The sequence below is a fragment of the Homo sapiens genome, chromosome 3, assembly GCF_000001405.40.
Source record: "Homo sapiens chromosome 3, GRCh38.p14 Primary Assembly".
Lineage (NCBI taxonomy): Eukaryota > Metazoa > Chordata > Mammalia > Primates > Hominidae > Homo > Homo sapiens.
The window spans coordinates 49,784,209-49,802,949 of record NC_000003.12 but is presented as its reverse complement, the minus strand read 5'-3'; the positions used below and the strand labels follow the sequence as shown (position 1 = coordinate 49,802,949).

Sequence of the window (18,741 nt, the reverse complement as noted above, 5' to 3'; positions counted from 1 at the left end):
GGCAGAGCACCCCGGATGGTCGGACCCAGAGAGGTTGTGGACCCTCGGGGCCTGACCCACGGGACCCATTCGTGAGGCTGGCCTTGGCACTCCCTGAACGGGATGGAAGTGGGGTTCAGCCCGTCTGAGGACTCAAGAGAGGGCGGGACTTTGTGGCAGCGCACCGGCGGGGCCTCAGCCGCGTCCCAACCGAGCTAGACGGGACTGCCCTCTAGTGGGGAGTGCTTGGCTAGTCGCGAGTCCAGCGGCGACGCGCGACCGTCGGCATTCCCTTTGCCGGTACCAGGTGCAGACTGAGGGTCGGTGCTGAGGCTGCTCTATCAACACAGGCTAGGCTCAAGGGTAGTGTAGCTGCAGACAGACTGGACATACCAGCAACAGGAAAATACCAGGGAATGAGGGCCGTGGGCTAGCTTGGGGAAAGTCAGTCTCACAGGAGGTGACATCAAGATGCAATCAAGAAGAGGGGCATTCTGGCCGGGCGCGGTGGCTCACGCCTGTAATCCCAGCAGTTTGGGAGGCCGAGGCGGGCGGATCACGAGGTCAGGAGATCGAGACCATCCTGGCTAACATGGTGAAACCCCGTCTCTACTAAAAATACAAAAAAAATTAGCCGGGCGTGGTGGCGGGCGCCTGTAGTCCCAGCTACTCCTGAGGCTGAGGCAGGAGAATGGCGTGAACCCGGGAGGCGGAGCTTGCAGTGAGCGGAGATCGCGCCACTGCACTCCAGCCTGGGCGACAGAGTGAGACTCCGTCTCAAAAAAAAAAGAAAGGAAGAAGAAGCAGGAGGAGGAGAAGGAGAAGAAGGAGAAGGAGAAGAAGGAGAAGAAGAACATTCTAGGCAGAAGGAGCAGCCAGGGAAGAGACCCCGACGGACAGGAGCTGGACAGGGCCAAACATAAAGAAGGCCCAGGTGTCTGTGATTGGTGGTGGTGGCAGGAGGGAAAAGGTCAGCAAAACCAGGCTCTAACGGCCTTAGAGCAGAATGTGGGTTTTGTTCTTGGTGTGATGAGGAGCAATGGGGGCCTTTGAGCAGGAATGACCTGGGCTAGCCCTTGTTTAGATAATCCCAGCTGCTTTCAGAAAAGGATTCTGCAATAAGAGTGGAAGTCCCTGCCCTCATCCAGGCAACGAAGGGGAGGGCCTAGGCCTGGGCAGGGCAGGTGCACTGAAGGGGGTCACTTTGGGGTATGTTTTGGAACTAAAATCAAGTCTTGCTGATGCATGGATGTGGGCAGGAAAAGAGGCATCAAGCATGACTCCTACATTTCTGGCATTAACAGCTGGTTGGATGAAATTGCCATAAACTGATCTGGGAAAGACTGGAGAAGAGTGGGTTTGGAGAGGAAAATCCAATGATCATTTATGGACACGTAACCCTTGAGATGCCTGTTAGACATCCAAGAGGAGTTGCAGAGTCAGCTGCTAGGTGTATGACTCTGGACTTCAGGAGAGAGATCAGCACTGGAGCCTTGGATCTGGGAGGCATAGTGAGTGAATGGATGGTATGTAAGGCCATAGGCCTGGATAAGGTGGGGTGGGAGGAAATCAGTGTAGTCAGAGGGAGACAGCAATCGGGACTGTGCCCTGGGACATTCCATGAGGTGGAGGTAGGGGAGATATGAAGCAGAGCTATCAAAGAAGCTGAGCAGGAACAGCCAGGAGAAATCTGAGAATGTGGGGACTCAGGACCCAAGGGGAGCAAGCATTGAATGCTGCCTAGGCAGTGAGGGTGAAGAACAAACCACTGGATTCGGCAGTGCATAGGTCACTGGGAACCCTGACAAGGGCAGTTTTGTGTAGAGAGGGACAAGCCTGATTAGAGTGTGTGGAGAAGAGAGTGAGGACTGAAGAACTGGAGATGGCAAATAAAGACAACCGTTTTTGTTTTTTTTTTTGAGACAGGGCCTCACTCTGTCACCCAGGCTGGAGTGCAGTGGCATGATCTTGGCTCACTGCAGCCTCCATCTCTGGGGCTCAAGTGACCCTCCTATCTCAGCCTCTCAAGTAACTGGGACTACAGGCATGTGCCACCACACTCAGCTAATTTTTTTTTTTTTTTTTTTTGTAGAGACAGGGTTTCACCATGTTGTCCAGGCTGGTCTCGAACTCCTGATCTCAAACGATCCTCCTGCCTCAGCCTCCCATACAGGCATAAGCCACCGTGCCTGGCCAGAAAACTTAAAAAAACTGACATATAAATACAATAAATAGACAGATCTCAAAGTTACAGCCCAGTAAATGTTAAAATCTGTAGACACTTGTGCAGCTGCCACCCAGATATAGAACATCCTCAGCAACTCCTGGATGCCACCTGGTGCCCTATCCAACTGATATTCCCAACGGTAACCAGTATTTGTATTTCTATCATAAAGGATTCCTTTTGCTTGTTGGATGTAGACAACTTTTTTTTTCTTTTTTCTTTTTTTTTGAGACAGGGTCTTGCTCTGTCACTCAGGTTGGAGTACAGTGGCACAATCATGACTCACTGCAGCCTCGATCTCTTGGGGTTCAAGCAATCCTCCTACCTCAGCCTCCAGAGTAGCTGGGACTACAGGCCTGGATCACCACACCCAACTAATTTTTTGTAGAGATGGGGTCTCACTTTGTTGCCCAGGCTGATATTGAACTCCTGAGCTCAAGTGATCCTCCCACCTCAGCCTCCCAAAGTGCTGGGATTACAGATGTAAGCCGCCACACCCAGCAAGTTTTGAGAGATTTTGTTGACGGTTGGGCTCATTTTTTATAGGCAGATAATGTTCTAATGGAGGGGGTCCAGCTGGAGTTGAGACTCTGTGGGGTAGCAGGTCCTGGGCCAAATTTTCCTGGGTGCTGTGCTTGCTCTATCTCCACGGATTGCATGACCAGTTTCCTCATCTGAACCTTAATCCTCCTCCCCTTCCATGCCCTTAGAGTTGTAATGAATGGGGGCAATGGAAAATGGGATATTCTGAGCCTCTGGAAGCCTGCCAGAGGTCTAGAACTCAGTCACCAGGGATGGGTGGGGATAGAATCTGGGAGGCCCAGGAGTCCCGCCTGCCCAGCTATGTTTGAGCAACTGACCTGGCAACAGGGTGAGTCAGACAAACAGCCTAGCTTTCTGAAGCCTCCTCTGCTGTCTGTGTCTTCAGGTCATCATGGTGCTGCTCAGGCTCCTCGTGTTCCTCTTTGCTCCGGTGGTCTCTGGTGAGGAGGTGGTGGGTGGGGGAACCGTAGTTTTCCCTTGGAGTCCTGACCCTTCCCAGATAAGCTACCATGGAGGACAGGGATTGGGGGAGAGGTAGGAAAGTGTAAGAATCTGAACCCCTGGCCCTCACCCCTTCTCTTGGCCACTTCCTCAGTCAAGTTCTCACTCCCCATCTGTGAAATGCTGGATGCTGGATACAAGGAAAGGCCTTAGCTGCTTGGCCCCATGGCATGGCCAGGCCCTGTGGCAAAAGGACAGGACTATGCTAGTATGTGTGGTTCCATCAGCCTGGGGGCCTCCAGCCTGAATTCTCTGCTCTTCACAGACCTCTGCAGCCTGCCCTGCTTTATAAATGTCTCTGAGAGCCAGGGCCCTGGCACAGTCCTTCAGTTTTTATCCTTCAACTGCTCCTCCTACACGCCCACACCCACCCTGGAGTTGCTCAATGTCCAGCCACCCACCACCTTCTTCAACCCACCCAGCTTGGCCAGGTGGCAAGGGACCTATGTGGGCAAGGTAGGGTCATGTGTACAGCTGGGGACTGTGGGGGCACAAGGGCAGACCTAAAATTTCCAAGCCCCACATGGCACTGTCCACCCACCCCAGTTGACCTTGAGCAGCTCTGCTCAGTTGGATGCCCTGATGGTGAACCACTACAAGGTGCAGCTGAAGTTCACATGTGGCAACCATGTGATGGAGGGCTCACTCTCTGTGGATGTGCAGCGGGACCTTAGCCATATCCAGTGTGCTGGTCAATTTGCCAGCCCAGGTGAGGCCAGGGGCAGCCGGCAGGGTGGGGGCAGGCATGGCCTGAGCAGATCCTCCCTGACCTCCACTCTGGCCAGCTGGGGAAATGATTCAGGTGCCAGAGACAGTCACACCTGGGGCTCGGCTGTACACTCTGCTCCTCCCAGGCCTAGAACTCCACGGAGCGCAGGTAAGCCCAGAACATGGGACGGTGGGTGACAGGATGGGGGTGGGGGGATGGAGAGAATAAATTAACCCCCACCTGGCCAGGCACAGCCTGAAGAGGAACCTTGCAGCAGAGGCATAGATGAGCCTCTACATGATGTATGTTCTTGGAGAGAGCTGCTGAGGGCTGCTCACTCCCCAGTGACCATGGCTGTTCCCACAGGGACATCTCAGGGGCTGAGTTCTTTTTTTTTTTTTTTTTTGAGACGGAGTCTTGCTCTGTCGTCCAGGCTGGAGTGCAGTGGCGCGATCTCGGCTCACTGCAAGCTCCACCTCCCAGGTTCATGCCATTCTCCTGCCTCAGCCTCCCGAGTAGCTGGGACTACAGGCACCCGCCACCACGCCCGGCTAATTTTTTTGTATTTTGTAGTGGAGACAGGGTTTCACCGTGTTAGCCAGGATGGTCTCGATCTCCTGACCTCGTGATCTCCCCACCTCGGCCTCCCAAAGTGCTGGGATTACAGGCATGAGCCACCGCTCCCAGCCAGGGGCTGAGTTCTTTCAAGATCTGCTATGTGTTCTCAGTTCTTTATGACAATTCTGTATCATTTCTGTAATCAAAAAAAAAAAAAAAACAAACATGTAGGTAATGGCCAGGCACGGTGGCTCACACCTGTAATCCCAGCACTTTGAGGGGGCTGAGGCAGGTGGCCTCAGGAGTTCGAGACTAGCCTGGCCATCATGGTGAGACTCTGTCTTTACTAAAAATACAAAAATTAGCCAGGTGTGGTGGCGTGTGCCTGTAATCCCAGCTACTTGGGAAGCTGAGGCAGGAGCATCGCTTGAACCCAGGAGGTGGAGGTTGCAGTGAGCCAAGATTGTGCCACTGCTCCAGGCTGGGTGACAGAACAAGACTCTGTCTCAAAAAAAAAAAAAAAAAAAGTATTTAAAAACAGTAACTGGCTTGAAAGCAAAAAGGATTGAGGACTGCGGCCAGGGCTTGGGCTAGAAGTCAGGGAGCCCAGGCTGGGATAAGGGTCAGTGGTGAAGCATGAGAAAACTGGGTGTCAGGCTGGGCACAGTGGCTCACACCTGTAATCCCGCATTTTGGGAGGCCGAGGCGGGTGGATCACTGGAGGTCAGGAGTTCGTGACCAGCCTGGCCAACATGGCGAAACCCTATCTCTACTACAAATACCAAAATTAGCCAGGCGTGGTGGCGGGCACCTGTAATCTCAGCTATTCGGGAGGCTGAGACTGAAGAATCACTTGAACCCAGGAGGTGGAGGCTGCAGTGAGCCAAGACTGAGCCATTGCACTCCAGCCTGGGCAACAAGAGTGAAACTTTGTCAGAAACAGGAAGGAAGGAAGGAAGGAAAGAAGGAAAGGGAAGGGAGGGAAGGAAATTAGCCGGGTGTGGTGGCACAGGCATGTAATCCCAGCTATTCAGGAGGTTGAGGCCGGAGAATCACTTGAACCCAGTAAGTGGAGGTTGCAGTGAGCTGAGATCGCACCACTGCACTCCAGCCTGGGCGACAGAGAGAGACTCTGTCTCAAAAAAAAGAAAGAAGGAAGGAAGGGAGGGAGGGAGGAAGAGAGAAGGAAAGAAAGAGAGAAAGGAAGGAAGGAGAGAGCGAGAAGGAAAGAAAGAAAGGAAGGAAGGAGAGAGAAGGAAAGAAAGGAAAGAAGGAAGGAAGGAAAATAAATTGGGTGTAGGCAGGTGCCTGCTGGGTTGCTGGAGGGTTGCTGCTGGGTTGTCGATGGGGGTGCTCAGGGCACTGGGGGCTGAATGTGGTTGCCAGCATCTCTGTTCTGTCAGATGAGCATTATCAGTGCCCAGGACCTGCCACACTTCCCTGGACCTTTCTCCATCAATGAGCAAGGTTGGCTGCAGGCACCATCCCAGGGCCTCCTAGGCCAGGCTCAAAAGGTGAGCATGACCTGGAATCTGAGGGTGTTTATGGATTGGGTAGAGTGCCTACCTTTTAGAAATTTGTTTATTCTTGGCCTCCTTGGCCTCCTTGACTAATACTGACTCTCTCAGACCTGGACCTGCTGCTGCATGCTGTCTGTCCTCCCACCTTAGCTTGGTTCTGTGCTGGGCTCTGGAGTTCTAGAAAGAAGAGGAATCCCTCTCTCTGGGAATTCACAAGCCCTCTAATAGAAAGAAAAGTGTTTAGGGCAATCACACAGTAAGAGAAAGTCCTGGGTAATGGCCAGGCACAGTGGCTCACCCACATAATCCTAGCACTTTGGGAGGCCAAGGTGGGCGTTGTCACCTGAGTTCAGGGGTTCAAGACCAGCCTGGCCAACATGGAGAAACCCCGTCTCTACTAAAAATACAAAAATTAGCTGAGCATGGTGGCGCATGCCTGTAATCCCAGCTACTCGGGAGGCTGAGGCAGGAGAATTGCTTGAACCCAGGGGGTGGAGGTTGCAGTGAGCCAAGATCATACCACTGTGCTCCAACATGGGCAAAAAAAAAAAAAGTTCTGAGTAAAATGGTCAGTGCAGTCTGGAGGTGGCTTTCAGCAATTCTAAGATGATAATTCACATTGTCAATGATTCAGATATCACTCTGGGGCTGTTTGTATCCTAATGGAATAATTTATGGCCCAAAGGTATGGGGCTCAAAGGAATACTTGTCAGCAGAGTGACAGGTCATGGGGATCATGGGGAAGAGTGGAAGTTGAAGATCCTTTTGGAGATCCTAAGTGAGGTTGCCTATTTAAGGGGAGGACTGGGCATAGACAAAGAGGTGGACACACACAATCTGGCTCCTTTTCTGTTCTGGGTGCACCACAGGTCTTCCAGCTGCAAATCTCAGTGTCCTTTGGACAAAGGCAAAGCTGCCAAGGGATGGTGATAGTGAAGGTTTTGCCTGTTCCCTCCAGCCAGGTCTCCTTCCTGTAAGGCTCCCCTACCCTGGAACAGTGAGGGAGGAAGGGCCTAGCCCCAGGGAATCAGGTAGGGTGAGGCTGCTGGAGCTGAGTCCCAGCCCTGACAGGAGGGGGCCCAGGGAAGGAAGCTGTGGACCCACAGGTTGAGCAGGAATGGGCAGGAACCAGTGCCCCCCTTTTGGTCCAGCGAGCAGGCTCAGAATATCACCATCCCTGAGAATCTGGCCCCCGGTAGTGAGGTGGTTCAGGTCCAGGCCCGGGGTGTCGACCTGCGCTATGAAATCCTGTCTCCGGTGCCCAGCCCACTCTTCTCCATTGGTCGTGGTGAGAGGTGTTGGGGGGTGGGGGCAGGTACTGGGATGCCTCTGTGGCTGGTCCAGAGGTGACCCATAGTACCTCTTCACCTTCCTGTTTGGGGGCCTGGTCTTGGAGAAGGCAGCAGGAGGGCCAGGCTCAGCGGCCTCCTTTGCCTATGGATCTGGTGGGCTGGCAGGAGTGGGACTGAGCTGGGAGGCGGGGCTGATCTCTGTGTTCCCTGACCCCTGACCTCTGTGTTCTCTCACCCCATGCAGCAGACGGTGTGGTCCGGACCACCACGCCCCTAGAGTTAGCTCGCACCTCAGGCACCGCGGTCTCCAGGCTGCAGGTGAAGGCCTTTGAGCAGGGCCAGCTGTGGGCCAGTGCCAAGCTCAATCTCACCATGAATGTGCAGCTGGTCAACCTCTGGCCTCCACGCTGCCTCCCAGCGCTTCTGGTGTGAGTACCCGGGAACCATACTTGGGCTGCTGGGGTCAGAGCCATGACTCAGGGTACTGCCAGACTCCTGCCTTGCTGCCACTGCATACTCTCAGGTCCCAAATCCCGGAGACTGCACCCGTGGGCACCGTGCTGAATACTCTCACTTGCGAAGATCCGGACTCTGTTGGTGCCACCCTGGACTACAAGCTGTGGTTCCGCAGCTCTTCCAACCCTGCCAGCCTCTGCCTTTATGACAGAGTCCTTGAGGTGCCCAGCCCCAGCTCCCAGACCCACTTGCAGGGTGCTTGCAGTGGGAAGGGGTGGGTGGGCCAAGGGTCTCTGAGACCACGGGAGTGGGGGTGGAGGGATGGCTGTCGAGCCAACCTGTGTTGCAGTCTGGAAAACAGGATCCAGGCAAGATATTTGTGGATGCCCTGGCCTACAGCAGCCCCGTGTGGCTCAGGGCTCTCTCAGGCCCTGGCTGGACCTCACTTTCTAGCCCCTTTGGCTAGGTGAATGCCACACTGGACTGTGACACTCCTGGAGCCTGCTTCCAGCATGCAGCCTCCATCCTGGTGCTCGATGGTGGCCAGCCCCAGATGACCAGTGAGTGACCACACCCGGCCTGGACACCCAGGACAAGGCTGTTCTGTCCTCCCGCTTCCCATGCTCAGGACAGGGTCATCTCTCCTCCTTCAGAATCCAGTAGGGCAGGGTTGTCACCATTTCAGACCCTGAAGATATATCTCTTAGACCCCCAGCAGGGGAAGGCTTCTGCCCTCCCTTTAGACCCTCTCACTCTCTTTTTTTTTTTTTGAGACGGAGTTTTGCTCTGTCACCCAGGCTGGAGTGCAGTGGCACGATCCTGGCTCACTGCAAGCTCTGCCTCCCGGGTTCACGCCATTCTCCTGCCTCAGCCTCCAGAGTAGCTGGGACTACAGGTGCCGGCCACCACGCCCGGCTAATTTTTTGTATTTTCAGTAGAGACGGGGTTTCACTGTGTTAGCCAGGATAGTCTCAATCTCCTGACCTCGTGATCTGCCCGCCTCGGCCTCCCAAAGTGCTGGGATTACAGGCGTGAGCCACCACGCCCAGCAGACCCTCTCACTCTTTAGACCCCCAGGGCAGGGCCCTGTCTCCCTCCTCAGACCCCCAGTTCAGGGATAGTTACCCCAGGCCAGCTCCTTGACTGCCAAATGACTTCCAGCTGAGGTGCCGGTACTGGTGATGGTGACACCCATCAACGAGTTCTCCCCAGCCTGTGCCCCTCGCACGTTCCGGGTTCAGGAGGATGCGGCGCCCCACACTCTACTGGGCTCCGTGGTGGGCACGGATATGGATTACCCTCATGACAACATTGAGTACTACACCTCTGGTGGTCCTACCACCTTTGCTGTGGACCGTCTCAGCGGTACATCCACCCCAGGGCTGGGATGGAAACAGGGAGCCAGAGTTGGCCCTGCAGGCTGAAGCTGTGGTCTCCCCCTCTAGGGGAAGTTCACCTCCTGGGACCTTTGGACTATGAGCAGCAGAGGCTGTACAGGCTCACTGTCCTTGTGATTGACCATGGCCAAGACCAGAACCCCAACCATCACCTCTCAGGCTCCTGTACCATTACCATCGAGGTTGAGGTAATTGCGTCCTAAGGCTTTGGAAATAAATACTTGGAAAGACAGGAGTTCAGATTGCCCTGTGGTGTTCTGCTTTTCCACTCTGTGCCTTGGTTTCTTCCACGAGTTGGCTGGAGAAGAGTGGGGCCTAATTGAAAGCTCTGGAGCCTGTTGTGTGATGACTTCATCACTTGATGCCTAGGCTACGGCTGTGGTGAGAAGAAGTTGAGGGGCTGGCTCAGAGGTTTAGGGGGTGGGTTCCACCCACTCCTAACCTGGTTCCTTTCTGCAGGATGTGAATGACCATGCCCCCGAGTGTGAGCCCCCATTTCAGGAACTCACCATCTATGCTCCTCTGGGCCGTAGCGTGGAGGTGACCAAGATGTCATGCCAGATCCCTCAGGAGCCACAGCGCCTGATCTACTCCTATAGCATCGTGGGAGGTAGGGGACATGGGCACCACCAGGTTGTGAGTGAGGGGCAGGCCAAGGCCAGCAATGGTCTCTTCCTCCTGTCATTCTGCTTTCAGGGAATAGCCAGAACCGATTCATCCTGCAAGGGGCCATCCTGGTGCACAGTGACCTTGTGTTGGGGCCGTTCTGGCCAGAGCAGCCCCGTACCTATGAGCTACTGATCTGTGTGGCCGATGCAGGCCCCTCCACCCCCCACCTCAGCACCACAGCCACCATTATTGTGCATCTAGTTCCCCGGAGGGCCAGCACAGTGGCCACCAGCACCCACAGAACCACAGTGAGGAGGCTCCTTGGGCCCTCAGCAGGGTGGGAAGGGTGGACCTTGGAGAGTGAGGAGACCCAGTTTTTCAGGTGGAACTATGGGGAAGGCAGTTCAGAGGGAAGCGCAGAGTGCGGAGAGCCCAGCAGTGTTGAAGAGCAAATCATGGGTGTGGGGTGGCTTAGCCCGGGGAAGGGTTGGAAGGCTGGATGGTCAGGGCATTTTGGCAAGGCAGTGGTGAGGCTGTGGCCTCCTTTTCAGGTGCCCTCAACGATGACACCCATGCTCGTGACAGACACAGAGGCTTTCTGGCAGCCACAGCCCTGGTTTGTGGTGGTGTTGACAGCAACTGGTGCTCTTCTCCTCTTGGCCCTAGGCTGGCTTCTTGGCAGGCTCCTCCAGGGGTAGGGATCCTATCCTTGTGCTCCCTACTTGCCCCCAACCCACCTATGGACCCCAGTTGTGATGGGTGGTTTCACCCAAGATTAGATGACAATGCCCAAGTAGGTGGGTGACGAACTGATATTGAGGAGGGCTACTCTCCCTCCAGAGGTCTTTAGATTAGGGTCAGAGAGACACTGGGAGGAAGCAACTTCCATCACCGGCAGAATCCAGTCTTGGAATGGGAGGAGGGTAGATAAGCTCAGGGCTTGAAACTGTGAGTCTGTCATACATTGGGCATTTACCCCTATTCCTGACTTCTGCCCTCCACTGGAAAGCTTTCCTGCTCCTGTAGACTCTGAAGTTCCTTGTGGACATAGGACTGAGCCCAGGGAAAGGGGATGTAACAATGTGGGCACTGCATACAGACATTGGTTGTTCCCAATATAAAGGAATGGGTGAATGGTGCTGATTCCTGGAGCCAGTAGGCCTGCTGCCCTCACTGCTTCGTTACTCCTCCTGGCATTTTAGGTTGGCCCAGCTGCTGCAAGCACCCAGCAAACCAGCCCAGGCTTTGCTGCTAAACAGGTCAGTCTCCTTTGCATACTTCTATGCCTGGGATCCCATCTCTTAAACTCAGGTTAGGGCCCAGAGCCTTGCCCTGTACTCTTGCTCGTACTTTGCCCCAGCATCCAGGGAACTGAGGGATCCATCGAGGGTTTCCTGGAGGCACCGAAGATGGAGATGTCCCAGGCACCCAGCAGTGTCATGAGTCTGGTATGTCAGCTCACCATCTCAAGTAGTGGACACCAAGGGTGCTTCAGAGTACTCCCCTGCCCCCTCCAAGCCTTTTTTCCCATGCCCCTTTTCCGATGAATGGGTATCCTTGTGGAAATGCCCACACTAGCACCATCAGAATGGAGGAGGCAGGTGGGCTTCTGGCCCCCTAGGGGCAGGCCTTCATCTGCTCCCCTGTGGGCAGGGTTCAATTCATTGCATCTTTTTTTTTTTTCCCTCAGCAGCATTTTGATGGCAGAGCACAGGACTCCCGTGAGTCCCCCTCTTCCTAAGCTATTCTCTGCCTGGGCCCTCACCCCATCTGAGTATCTCCTCCTCTCTTTACCCCATCTCAATATCTCCTCCTACTCCCAGGAACCCACCATCTATCTGCTTTTTTCCTGAATGGGGTCTGCTCTCATCCCCGCTCACTCTTCATCCATCCTTTGTCAAACGTCTAGGGGGTCAGGAGATGACTCATATCTGGTCTGGTCTCTGCCCACAACGGGAGGAGGGATGATGGTGAGGGGAGAGGCCTCCAGATAGTCCAATGTCACCAGTGATTTATGGGAGAGTAATCTGGTATTGCCTTAGGGAAGCTGGTGTCCAGTGTTGGAGAATCAAGGAGGCTTCCTGTGCATTTGAGTCAGAGTTGAGAGAATTTGCTGAGAAGGGAGGGAGGGGACAGGTTAGATTCCAGCGAAGGTGGGATGTCACACTGAGGGTCCTGGAGGAATAATCTCCTACCCTTAAGTAAGGGGGAGGGAGGCAGTTCTTCTGGGGCCAGCAGCACCCCCTGCTCTCCTCTCTCTCCTACCGGTTTTAGGTACCGGAAGAGACTACCTGTTTAACACACACACAGGAGCCCGGCGCTGGCTCTGAGGCCAAGTAGCTGTCTTACTATGTGTGGAATTTCTTTTTCACACCATCATGGGCTGTATTTTCAAGTTGATTCATAATAAACAAAATTACAAAAAGAAAAGTTCTAGCCTTGTAGCCAACGTGTGGGAGAAGCTCTGAAATCTGTGCCTCCTTGTTCTCACTTGGACAACTCCCTACCTTGTGAGCAGACTCTAGGGAGCAGTAAGGTTTTCCTTTTCTCTTTCAGGGTTTTTTTTTTTTAGACAGGGTCTCACTATGGTGCCCAGGTTGGAATGCAGAGGCTATTCATAGGTGTTATCATAGCACACTATAGCGTCTAACTCCTGGCTTCAAGAGAGCCTCTCATCTCAGCCTCCTGGGTAGCTGGGACGATGGGCGCACCACTGCACCTGGCTTTATTTTTCTTTTAAGAAGGTATTGTGTGATGCTCAGACTGACAGTGTGACTGATGCTCTATAGAAGTAATAGGCTATCATCCTTGTCAGTGACTGAGGGGCCTCCAATCAGCATGTCTCCTCAGGGCCACCTGCTTCCTTTTCCTATCCAGAAGAGAGAGAACAATGCTGCGTGTGTGTGTGTGTGTGTGTGTGTGTGTGTGTGTGTGCGCGCGCGCGCGCGCATGTGTGTGAAGGAGAGAGGGGGCGGGGAGAGGGAGAGAGGGGGAGAGAGAGAGAGAGAGAGAGAGAGAGAGAGAGAGAGAGAGAGAGAGAGAGAGAGAGAAAGATAGGGTCTGGCTGTCTGGCTTTGTTGCCCAGGCTGGAGTGCAACGGTGTGATTGTGGCTCACTGTAGCCTTGACCTCCCAGGCTCAATCGATCCTCCTACTCAGAATCCCAAGTAGGTGGGACTACAGGCATGGACCACCATGCCTGGCTAATTTTTAATTTTTTTGTAGAGATGGGATCTCTCTATGTTGACCAGGCTGGTCTTGAATTCCTGGGTCCAAGCCATCCTCCCCCTTCAGCCTCCCAAAGTGCTGGGATTATAGGTGTGAGCCACCGTGCCTAGCTCACTGTTGCTTTTGTTGTTGTTGTTGTTGAGATGTTTCTCTTTTTAATTTTTTTCTTAATTTTTAATTTTTGTGGGTACATAGGTGTATAAATTTGGAGGTACATGAGATGTTTTAATAAGGCATGTAATGGTTAATAATCACCTCATCGAAAATGGGGCATCCATCCCCTAAAGCATTTATCCTTTGTGTTACAAATAATCCAATTATACTCTTTCAGTTATTTTAAACTGTACAATTAAGTTATTATTGACTACAGTCACTCTGTTGTGCTATCAAACACTAGGTCTTATTCATTTTTCTTTTTTTTTGGTACCCATTAACCGTCCCACCTCCCCACCCCTTCCAGACTCTGGTAACTATCCTTCTACTCACTATCTCCATGAATTCAATTGTTTTGTTTAAATCTTTTTCCTTTTTTTTTTTTTTGAGATGTAGTCTTACTTTGTCACCCAGGCTGGAGTACAGTGGCACGATCTTGGCTCACTGCAACCTCCGCCTCTCATGATCAAGCAATTCTCGTGCCTCAGTCTCCTGAGTAGCTGGGACCACAGGTGTGCACCACCATGCCGGCTAATTTTTTTATTTTTTATTTTTAGTAGAGATGGAGTTTTCCTATGTTGGCCAGGCTGGTCTTGAACTCCTGACCTCAGGTGATCCTCCTGCCTCAGCCTCCCAAAGTGCTGGGATTACAGGCATGAGCCTCCGCACCAGCCAATCTCACAATCTCATTCTTTTTAATGGCTGAATAATATTCCATTCTGCATATGTACCATATTTTCTTTTCTTTTTTTTTTTTTTGAGATGGAGTCTCGCTCTGTTGCCCAGGCTGGAGCACAGTGGCGTGATCTCGGCTCACTGCAAGTTCCGCCTTCTGGGTTCACGCCATTCTCCTGCCTCAGCCTCCTGAGTAGCTGGGACTACAGGCGCTTGCCACCACGCCCGGCTAATTTTTTGTATTTTTAGTAGAGATGGGGTTTCACCGTGTTAGCCAGGATGGTCTCCATCTCCTGACCTCATGATCCGCCCGCCTCGGCCTCCCAAAGTGCTGGGATTACAGGCGTGAGCCACCGCACCCGGCCCATATGTACCATATTTTCTTTATCCATTCACCTGTTGATGGACACTTAGGTTGCTTCCAAATCTTGGCTATTGTGAATGGCACTGCAGCAAACATGGAAGTGCAGATATCTTTTTGATATACTGATTTCCTTTCCTTTGGGTACATACCCAGCAGTGGGATTGCTGGATCATGTGGTAGCTGTATTTTTAGTTTTCTGAGGAACCTCCGAACTGTTATCCACAGTAGTTATACCACTGTTGCTTTTTGAGGGTCCCATCAAACTTCAGGGCAATTTGCCAACTGTATGTGGAGGTTTTCTTGGGAAGGATCTGGAGCTTTTGCACTGCGGTGAGGGGTGATGCAGACTTGAGAATCCTGTGGCATGGCTGGTCCTGGAGGATTAGCAGAATCCCCCTTTTGAGGGTTGTTGGCTTTTCTTCCTGATCTGTTTCTTCTGGTTCCTCTGCTCTCACATCTCCCTGTGTTGACCTGAGCTATTGCATGTAGCCAAGTGGCCTGCAGCAATCTGCTGGTGGGCAGGTCTTGCTGGATGCAGTGTTGGCCCACTCTCCATGCCCAACCTGACATCAGGTCTCAGGCTTCTGCCAGCTCTCCAAGAGGACCTTACTGTGGTAAATCCAAGTTATCACAGTCTTTACTCGTCTGTTGAGTCTGTGGGCCTGAACCCCCTCAGGGTACTGGAGAACCTCCCTTTTTTTTTTTTGAGACAGAATTTTGCTCTGTCACCCAGGCTAGAGTGTGGTGGCGTGATCTCAGCTCACTGAACCTCTGCCTCCCAGGTTCAAGTGATCCTCCTGCCTCAACCTCCTGAGTAGCTGGGATTACAGGCACCTGCCATCACGTCCAGCTAATTTTTGTATTTTTAGTAGGGACAGGGTTTCACCATTTTGGCCAGGCTGGTCTCGAACCTCTGACCTCAAGTGATCCACCTTCTTTGGCCTCCCAAAGTGCTGGATTACAGGCATGAGCCACTGCGCCTAGCTAGGAGGACCTCCCCTTCTGAACCAGTTATGGTATCCCAGGGCCAGGAAGAAGCTGAAAGCCTTCTGTGGGAACAAAACAAAGCAAAACAAAAACGCTTCATGGGGCTTCCACCAAAGTTAGTGTTTTAAGGCACGCCTCAGGAACAGCAACTTGGAAGCAGGTTGTTCCAGGAAGTGGTTGTAGGCAGATTTTTCCTGAGTTCTTCCCCTGCTCTGAGGGCTCATTAAATCTTCCTCTGAGAAGCTCCACTTTTATCTTCATTTTACAGATGGGACAACCAAAGCTAAAGAGAGGCTAAGGCTCAAAAGTCAGAGTTAGCTAGTTGGGGCATTTGGGTGTGGGCCCAGGCCACGTAACTTCATCTGTTGTTCTAAGCCTGAAGCCAAGCCCAGAGTTAGGTGTTCTGTATGGGGAGCAAGGTGTGACCATCTTCCTGGGACCATTAGTCTGCTTGGGAGGCCGGTCATGACAGTCCAGGGCAAAAGATGCTGTCACAGGATCTCAAGACAAGATGCTCTAGGGAAGAGAAAAGGGAGTGCCCGCTGTGTGTCAGGACTTGTGCTAGGCTCTAAACCTCAGGCAGGAAAGCATGGGCAATGAGCCAGAGGCTGCTGTGGCAGCACAGACTGCGGTACCTCGAGGCTAGTAAGGGACAAAGCGTGGGAAGCTGGGATAGAGGCTCCTCACACTCTGAAACCAGCAGGAGGAGGTGCGAGACCCAGCACCTCCATTTCTAGAGGTGGCGTGACCTTGGCTCGGCCTCCCCTCTCTGAGCCTCAGTTTCCTCTCCAGAGTGAACTGGGGGCTGCACCCCCCTTCTCCCAGAGTGGGGGACAAAAAAACGAATAGCACACCGCTGAGATTCCCTGTGTGTGCGCAAGTGTATGACAAGACGCCGCCGGTACCGCACGAGGGCCAGGGACGCAGAGAGGCCAAGGGCGCTCCGGCCTCGTAGTAGCCAGCGAAAACTCCGCCGCCAGCCACTCCGGGAACGAAGCGCATGCGCCAACCCATGCCGTCACAGTCACGTGCCCCACGCTTTCGGCAGAGGCCCTGAGAGGCAGACTCTGACTGACACGTGAGCTGACCTGTCAGCAGGAAGCACTTCCCCTGGCGACGAGCAAAAAGACTGTTGATTGGGGATAGCACCCCCTCGGGGGCGGGTTCTTTGCAGTCCTGGTTACTATGACGCCCGGCCCCCGCCCCCTCGGCTAGCCGCCATCTTGTTGTTGATCCGTACCCAGTGGGCAGCGCCGGGAGCTGGACCAAGCGGCCGGTGAGAGGCCGCTGTAGCGGTGCTCAGCCACCTGTGCTGCCTGCCAGGGGGCGGGCCGAAACCTGGAGGCCCGGGGGGCCCAGCTCCCGTAGGGAGCCGTGGGCGCTCGGTGCCCGGGCCGGGCAGGTGAGTGACAGGAGCCGGGCCGATAGACCGGCCTGACGCCCGCGGGGAGGGCGGTGGCGGGCGCGGGGTTGGAGTGGGCGCGTGTGGGGTCGGGGCTCCGGTGGGGCCATCACTGGAACATCGCTCGAGCGTCCTGACCGGCCGCCCGCCGAGCCTCCCAGATGCTGGCACCGAAGCCGGGGGGACAGCCGGTGTGGAGGACGGAGAGCGCCAGTGCCTGAGGGTTGGCCGGCTAGTAGCGGGAAACCAGCTTCTCTGACCGAAGCTCTGGACTCCGCTGATCCGGAGCGCTAAAGTGTGTCCGGTGCCACCCTGATGCTCTCCTGGGAGTTATGTTGCTCCTGGCTGAGAAATAGACTTACCTCTTTCTTAGATAGCGTTCCTGCGAGTGATTTTCAGGACGCTGGATGCTAAGACTAGACGAAGCAAGCCAAAGCCCCCGCGAGCCAGGCAGGCCGGTGTCACGGCCCTATGATTATGGCAAGGGGGACCCTCTGCCTGGCTGCTGCTTCCTGAGACCCGTTCGGAACCTCACGTGTACCTCGAAGCTCACCGTTTTCCTCGCAAAGAACCTGGTTAAATGTCCATAATGGCTGAGTTTTATTTTGGAACATAATTTCTTTGGTTCTTCACCACCACTTTTTGGAGAGTGGTAATGTCTTCCTCTTTTTGCTTTAGGAGAAAGTGAGTATTATGGTGATGACTTGATTTTATCTCCTAAAGGGATGCTCGCCATAGGAGACAAAGGAAACGTAGGAGTGTCTTAGAATCGGAAAAAGAAACTTGTTTTTGTTGTGGATGATATGGAACTGGCAAATTAACTGTTTTTTTTCTTTTTTTTCTTTTGAGACAGAGTCTCTCGCTCTGTTGCCCAGGCCGGAGTGCAGTGGCGCGATCTCGGCTCACCACAGCCTCCACCTCCCGGGTTCAAGCGATTATCCTGCCTCAGCCTCCCGAGTAGGTAGGACTACAGACACGCGCCACCATGCCCGGCTAATTTTTGTATTTTTAATAGAGACGGGGTTTCACCATGTTGGCCAGGCTGGTCTCGAACTCCTGACCTCGTGATCCACCCCCCTTGGCCTCCCAAAGTGCTGGGGTTACAAGTGTGAGCCACTATGCCCGGCGCAAATTAACTTTTAACAGTACTAAAATTATCTTGCTCAGTGAAAACACCTTCAAGCCCCTTTCCTGTGAATTTGGGCAAGTTGGAGATCCTCAGTAGAGTGTGCAGGTCTAGGAAGAGTTCTCATTGCTCCAAAACACATTTCTCTTGACCTGTGGCCTCTTTGGTTCTTTGTACAGTCTTCTTGTATGTGGTCATAGAATATGCCTGCATGAGATGACTAAGAAGTCAAGCGACAATACTTTGTGCACTTTTTGTTTTGTTTTGTTTTGTTTTGTTTTTTTGAGATGGAGTCTTGCTCCGTTGCCAGGCTGGAGTACAGTGGTGCCATCTCGGCTCACTGCAACCTCTGACTCCCTGGTTCAAGCAATTTTCCTGCCTCAGCCTCCCGAGTAGCTGGGACTACAGGCACGTGCCACCACACCTGGCTAATTTTTGTATTTTTAGTAGAGACGGGGTTTCACTATGTTGGCCAGACTGGTCTCGAACTCCTGACCTCATGATCAACCCGCCTCCGCCTCCCAAATTGTTGGGATTACAGGCATGAGCCACCGCGCCAAGCCTACTTTTTTTTTTTTTTTCTGAGACGAAGTCTCGTTCTCTCACCCAGGCTGGAGTGCAATGGCACAATCTCAGCTGACTGCAACCTCTGCCTCCTGGGTTCAAGCAAGTCTCCTGCCCCAGCCTCCCAAGTAGCTGGGATTACAGGTGCGTGCCACCATGCCCGGCTAATTTCTGTATTTTTAGTAGAGACCTGGTTTCACCATGTTGTTCAGGCTGATCTCGAACTCCTGACCTCCTGATCCGCCTGCCTTGGCCTCCCAAAGTGCTGGGATTACAGGCGTGAGCCACTGTGCCTGGTCACGCGCCTAGCCTACTTTGTGCACTTCTATCAGGATCTTGTCACCTCTGAATGTATAATTTTGAAAGAGGCCAGGTGCGGTAGCTCATGTCTGTAATCCCAGCACTTTGGGAGGCTGAGGCGGGCGGATCACCTGAGGTCAGTAGTTAAGAGATTA

General features: G+C 53.3%; 2 protein-coding genes across 15 annotated transcripts in view, besides 7 other annotated features; both read left to right on the top strand.

Annotated features, from left to right (window-relative positions):
- The first annotated feature begins 35 nt into the window (after nt 1–35).
- On the top strand, nt 36–12,218 carry CDHR4 (cadherin related family member 4). Of its 11 annotated transcripts, none has more exons than XM_017006367.1 (21): nt 796–913; nt 1,284–1,505; nt 3,132–3,186; nt 3,513–3,703; nt 3,794–3,956; nt 4,033–4,124; nt 5,918–6,028; nt 6,904–7,007; nt 7,186–7,322; nt 7,571–7,754; nt 7,850–8,003; nt 8,249–8,342; nt 8,944–9,147; nt 9,228–9,367; nt 9,639–9,789; nt 9,876–10,096; nt 10,340–10,482; nt 10,991–11,047; nt 11,149–11,236; nt 11,479–11,509; nt 12,063–12,218. In XM_017006367.1, the coding sequence occupies exons 2-21, from the start codon at nt 1,356–1,358 to the stop codon at nt 12,116–12,118; spliced, it is 2,526 nt and encodes an 841-aa protein (XP_016861856.1). In that variant the 5' UTR covers nt 796–913; nt 1,284–1,355; the 3' UTR covers nt 12,119–12,218. The 11 variants fall into 11 exon arrangements, 9 of the variants coding, with proteins under 9 accessions (XP_011532003.1, XP_016861856.1, XP_016861858.1 ...); XM_017006369.1 differs by having other exon boundaries at nt 796–949; nt 1,284–1,490; XM_017006368.1 differs by having other exon boundaries at nt 796–949; nt 11,482–11,509.
- Nucleotides 243–292: a silencer, noted in NCBI's record as "silent region_14374". NCBI's record gives its function as "represses an Ori minimal core promoter by ATAC-STARR-seq in GM12878 lymphoblastoid cells {active_cell/tissue: GM12878}" and the evidence as "EXISTENCE:reporter gene assay evidence [ECO:0000049][PMID:35858748]".
- Nucleotides 14,555–14,764: a silencer, noted in NCBI's record as "fragment chr3:49825619-49825828 (GRCh37/hg19 assembly coordinates)". NCBI's record gives its function as "represses an EF-1alpha promoter that drives an FKBP-Casp9 reporter gene in an ReSE screen in phorbol 12-myristate 13-acetate-treated (for megakaryocytic differentiation) K562 erythroleukemia cells {active_cell/tissue: K562(+PMA)}" and the evidence as "EXISTENCE:reporter gene assay evidence [ECO:0000049][PMID:32094911]".
- Nucleotides 15,545–15,709: a silencer, noted in NCBI's record as "fragment chr3:49824674-49824838 (GRCh37/hg19 assembly coordinates)". NCBI's record gives its function as "represses an EF-1alpha promoter that drives an FKBP-Casp9 reporter gene in an ReSE screen in K562 erythroleukemia cells {active_cell/tissue: K562}" and the evidence as "EXISTENCE:reporter gene assay evidence [ECO:0000049][PMID:32094911]".
- Nucleotides 15,885–15,954: an enhancer, noted in NCBI's record as "active region_19875". NCBI's record gives its function as "activates an Ori minimal core promoter by ATAC-STARR-seq in GM12878 lymphoblastoid cells {active_cell/tissue: GM12878}" and the evidence as "EXISTENCE:reporter gene assay evidence [ECO:0000049][PMID:35858748]".
- Nucleotides 16,041–16,730: an enhancer, noted in NCBI's record as "H3K27ac-H3K4me1 hESC enhancer chr3:49823653-49824342 (GRCh37/hg19 assembly coordinates)". NCBI's record gives its function as "activates a minimal SCP1, AML or CMV promoter by ChIP-STARR-seq in primed H9 embryonic stem cells {active_cell/tissue: H9 hESC(primed)}" and the evidence as "EXISTENCE:reporter gene assay evidence [ECO:0000049][PMID:30033119]".
- Nucleotides 16,041–16,794: a biological region, named in NCBI's record as "H3K27ac-H3K4me1 hESC enhancer GRCh37_chr3:49823653-49824342".
- The window catches only part of IP6K1 (inositol hexakisphosphate kinase 1), a 62,249-nt gene continuing 59,915 nt past the window's right edge, over nt 16,408–18,741 (top strand). For 3 of the 4 annotated variants that reach the window (NM_001006115.3, NM_153273.4, XM_047449323.1), the window contains exon 1: nt 16,408–16,596. The gene's annotated coding sequence lies outside the window, so the exon portion shown is untranslated. Of the gene's footprint in view, nt 16,597–16,703; nt 17,281–18,741 lie in introns of those variants that run through there. The other variant, NM_001242829.2, reaches the window with a different exon arrangement.
- Nucleotides 16,445–16,794: a silencer, noted in NCBI's record as "silent region_14373". NCBI's record gives its function as "represses an Ori minimal core promoter by ATAC-STARR-seq in GM12878 lymphoblastoid cells {active_cell/tissue: GM12878}" and the evidence as "EXISTENCE:reporter gene assay evidence [ECO:0000049][PMID:35858748]".

Bases quoted from the DNA above. Each gene is read 5' to 3' on its own strand.
- CDHR4 (XM_017006367.1), top strand. From the start codon at position 1,356: ATGATCATTTATGGACACGTAACCCTTGAGATGCCTGTTAGACATCCA. The intron at 7,008-7,185 runs GTAAGGCTCCCC...CTTTTGGTCCAG, and splicing joins TCCAGCCAGGTCTCCTTCCT to CGAGCAGGCTCAGAATATCA. The intron at 10,483-10,990 runs GTAGGGATCCTA...CTGGCATTTTAG, and splicing joins CTTGGCAGGCTCCTCCAGGG to GTTGGCCCAGCTGCTGCAAG.